The sequence below is a fragment of the Homo sapiens genome, chromosome 16, assembly GCF_000001405.40.
Source record: "Homo sapiens chromosome 16, GRCh38.p14 Primary Assembly".
NCBI classification, from domain to species: domain Eukaryota; kingdom Metazoa; phylum Chordata; class Mammalia; order Primates; family Hominidae; genus Homo; species Homo sapiens.
Genome location: NC_000016.10, coordinates 16,782,460 through 16,786,402, shown reverse-complemented (window position 1 = coordinate 16,786,402; position 3,943 = coordinate 16,782,460). Strand labels below are relative to the sequence as shown.

The following is a 3,943-nucleotide window of genomic DNA, read 5'->3' as shown; positions in this document are numbered from 1 at the left end:
ATAGCCACAGTGGACAGATCACTAATGAGTATATGACTCAATTCTGGACAATCTTTCCTCAGGTCTTTTTCCCCAGCAGAACCTGGTGAGAAAATCCCTTTTTCCTTTCTGGACATAAAATGTGTGCCAGGTCAGTCTGATATAATGCCTCTTCTTCCTATGCAGAAAAGCTGGTCCCCAAGCCTGAAGCTAACATGAGAGAAGGAAGCAAAATGAGAAACAGCAAGAAACAATGGATGGTTTTGAGTCCATGGACCCAGTTGTCCTGAGACCAGATCTACCCTTACCCCTTCGTAGATTTGTTTACATGAATCAGTAAATAGCCCCCTCCTTTTTTTAAATAAAACTAGTTTCTAGTTTACTAGTTTCTGGTTTATCATCTAACAGGTGATAGTAACAATAGCAGTAATAATAATAGCCAACATTTATCAAATGTGTATTCTCTGCCAGGCACATTAATTACTTCATTTAATAACCCTCACCACAAACTTATGAATTAGGCATTTCTTTTACCAAAATTGTATAGGCGAGAAAATTGAGGAAACATAAAGAGGTCAAGTAATTTGTCAAAAGTCACACAGTACATTTATCTACACAGCACAGACACTGTCTTAATTCATGTTTTGTTGCTGTAACAGAATACCTGAAGCTGGGGAATTTATAAAGTAAAAAGGTTGTTTTGGCTCACAGCTCTGCAGGCTGGGAAGTTAAAGAAGCATGGTGCCGGCATCTGTTTCTGGTGAGGGCTTTTGCACCACAACACAATATGGCAGAAGGTGAAAAAGGAAACAGACACGTGCAAAGAGGGAAAACATGAGGGGTGTCCTTGCTTTATAACAATCCACACTCAAGGGAACTAATCCAGTCTCACCAAAGCCAGCCCCCACCCACTATCGCAGTACCAGCACCAAGCCATGCATGAAGGATCCACCCCATGACCCAAATGCTTTCCACTAGGCCCCACCTCCCAATACCTCTACACTGGGAATCAAATTTCAACATGAGTTTCAGGGGGAAAAAAAATACACCCAGGCTAGGTGCAGTGGCTTACCGCTGTAATCCCAGCACTTTAGGAGGCCGAGGAAGATGGATCACATGAGGTCAGGAGTTCGAGACTAGCCTGGCCAACATGGTGAAACTCTGTCTCTACTAAAATTACAAAAATTGTCCAGGTGTGTGTTGCATGCCTGTAATCCCAGCTACTCAGGAGGCTGAGGCTGGAGAATCACTTGAACCCGGCAGGCCGAAGTTGCAGTGAGCCGAGATCGCGCCATTGCACTCCAGCCTAGGTGACAGATGGAGACCCCGTCTCAAAAAACAAACAAACAACAACAACAAACACATCCAAACCATAGCATATACCATTTACTTCCTATACTTTAAGCTGTTTATGGGGAAAATGCTGAACTCTAAAACTGGTTTAAAGAAGTGGATCTCCAGTACGGCTGCACATCAGAATAACCCAGGACACTTTAAATAAAATCCCATTGGTCAGCCTGCACCCCAGGACCAAGAAAATCAAAATATCTCGGTTAGGACCCAAGCATCAGTACTTTTCTAATGCTCCCAAGTTGATTCCGATGTATGACCAGTGTTGACAACCCCTGATTCAAAGATGTAGATGTCATAACCACTGATGGCACCTCCTGCATCCTCCTATCCTCATCATAACAGAGAGTATAATAATGCACTTGGCCCTCCACAGACAATTTCCAGAATTAAATTGGCGTTTAAGTTAAAAACACTTTCAAGGCAGAAAAATAAGGCTTTTGTGCAGGCGTTTCTTAGGAGAAAAAAAAGGAAGGTTTCCCATGTTGATTTTTATAGTGTTATTTGGGCCACAAAGGGAGTTAGTCAGAACAGGACAGCCCTAAACCTTATTGAGCCCCAGTGGTATATGCCTCTTGCCAATATAGCCAGCTATCAAAACAAGAGAGACACAGGAAGCATATTGTGCTGAGCCTCAGTGGTACCGTAATTACCGCACACTTGGGTTTTAACACCTAAACCCTGGCTCTTACTTAACAGCAATAATAATAACAAATGTCACCCAGACAGTGGGGCATTCTGCTATGTTTTAATCCCATTTTCAGAGAGTGTCTATAAGGATAAGGGCTTTTTATTTGGGGCAGACTTGCAGAAAGATAAAATTTGGGGTCTGTCACTGCATTTATCCACCAGTCTGTCATTGGGTTGTAAGGAACTAATTCATCACTCTAATATTTTTCCTTTGTCCTGCAAGGAGAGTTGCTTCTGAGGCTCTCAATGTGGCCCTTTAACAGAAATAAAGCTATCCTTTTCCCAGCAAAGAGTTTCATTGTACTCTCTTGATGAGGCTGAGCTGTTTTATATTCTAGCCCATACGACAGAAAGGATGGCAGAGCTGAAAACATTAGTTTGCACCTGCTGAAAGGTTTGGATTCATTCTGCCAAGTAGATATGACTTTGCACTTATCCTTCTAGCTTTAGGACTCCAGGACCAATTCTAGCCCTTTTGAAGAAGCAGCCCCACCCCCAGGCCACGCTCTGTAAAGATCTTTTCATATGTTAAATTTTTGTGCATGGGTAGGTGGATGTTAGCAATCCCATGTGGTGGTTAAGAAGATGAGATTTGAACCCAGGTAGGCTTGGGTTCTGTGTTAGTCTACTTGGAATGCCATAATAAAATTCCACAACTTGAGTGGCTTAAACAACAGAAATTAATTTTTTCACAGTTCTAGAGGCAAGAAGTGCAAGATCAAGGTGCTGGAAAATTAAGTTTCTAATGTGATCTCTCTTCCTCCCTTGCGGATGTCTGCCTTCTTGCTGAGTGTATGACCTTTTCTTTGTGTGTGCAAGGAAAGAGAGAGAACTCGGGTGTCTCCTCCTCTTCTTGGAAAGTCACCAGTCCTACTGGATTAGGGCCCCACCATAATGGCATCATTTAACGTTGATTAAGTCTATGAAGGTAATCTCTTCAAATACAGTTACATTGGGGGTTAGGGTTTTAACATATGAATTTTGGGGGAACACGACTCAGTCCTAAACAGTTTCATCCCAGCTCCGCCACTGACTGTCTGTGTAACTCTGGCAAAGTCATTCAAAAAGAGATAATGGTATCTCTTTCCTAGGGTGATTTGGATGACTGAACGAGATGATGTTTGCAAAGATATTAGTACAGTGCTTCCCATCTGGTAAGCACTAAAAAACAGCAATTTTTAGTTAGTTTAGCAACAGAAGTTCAAGCAACACTCAACTAAGTAAAGTGGTGAAGTGAATTAGGTTGTATTTCAAAGGCCGTCTCTTTCCTTTCCAGGTAACCTAGCTGCCCCGAGCCCACTACCAAACCCCTTGCAAGCCCAGGTGTATTAGTCCATTTTCATGCGGCTGATAAAGACATACCCAAGACTGGTAAGAAAAAAAGGTTTAACTGGACTTACAGTGGCACCTGGCTGGGAAGGCCTCAGAATCATGGCAGGAGGTGAAAGGTACTTCTTATATGATGGTGGCAAGAGAAAATGGGGAAGATGCAAAAGCAGAAACCCCTGATAAAACCATCAGATCTTGTGAGACTTATTCCCTATCATGAGAATAGCAAGGGAAAGATGGGTCCCCATGATTCAATTACCTTTCCCTGGGTCCCTCCCACAACACATAGGAATTCTGGGAGATACAGTTCAAGTTGAGATTTGGGTGGGGGCACAGCCAAACCATATCACCAGGTTTTCTTCTCCAGGCTGAAACTAATGTTGGCATCTGCTCCATCCGTTCTTTTGCCACCAGAGCTCATATTTCCGTGGAGACTTCATGGACTTGGAAGTCAGCAACACCTGAGTTCAAATCCCAGCTCTGCTGCTTATTAGTTGTGTGACATTACACGAGGCACTTATCCTCTCTTAGTCAATTCAAGATGCCATAACAAAATACCATAAACTGTATGGCTTAAACATTAGACACTGATTTC

At 42.7% G+C, this 3,943-nt stretch overlaps 1 annotated feature.

The window, feature by feature from the left end:
* Positions 2,314 to 2,514: a silencer, noted in NCBI's record as "peak2509 fragment used in MPRA reporter construct". NCBI's record gives its function as "represses an SCP1 promoter by STARR-seq MPRAs in K562 erythroleukemia cells {active_cell/tissue: K562}" and the evidence as "EXISTENCE:reporter gene assay evidence [ECO:0000049][PMID:32103011]".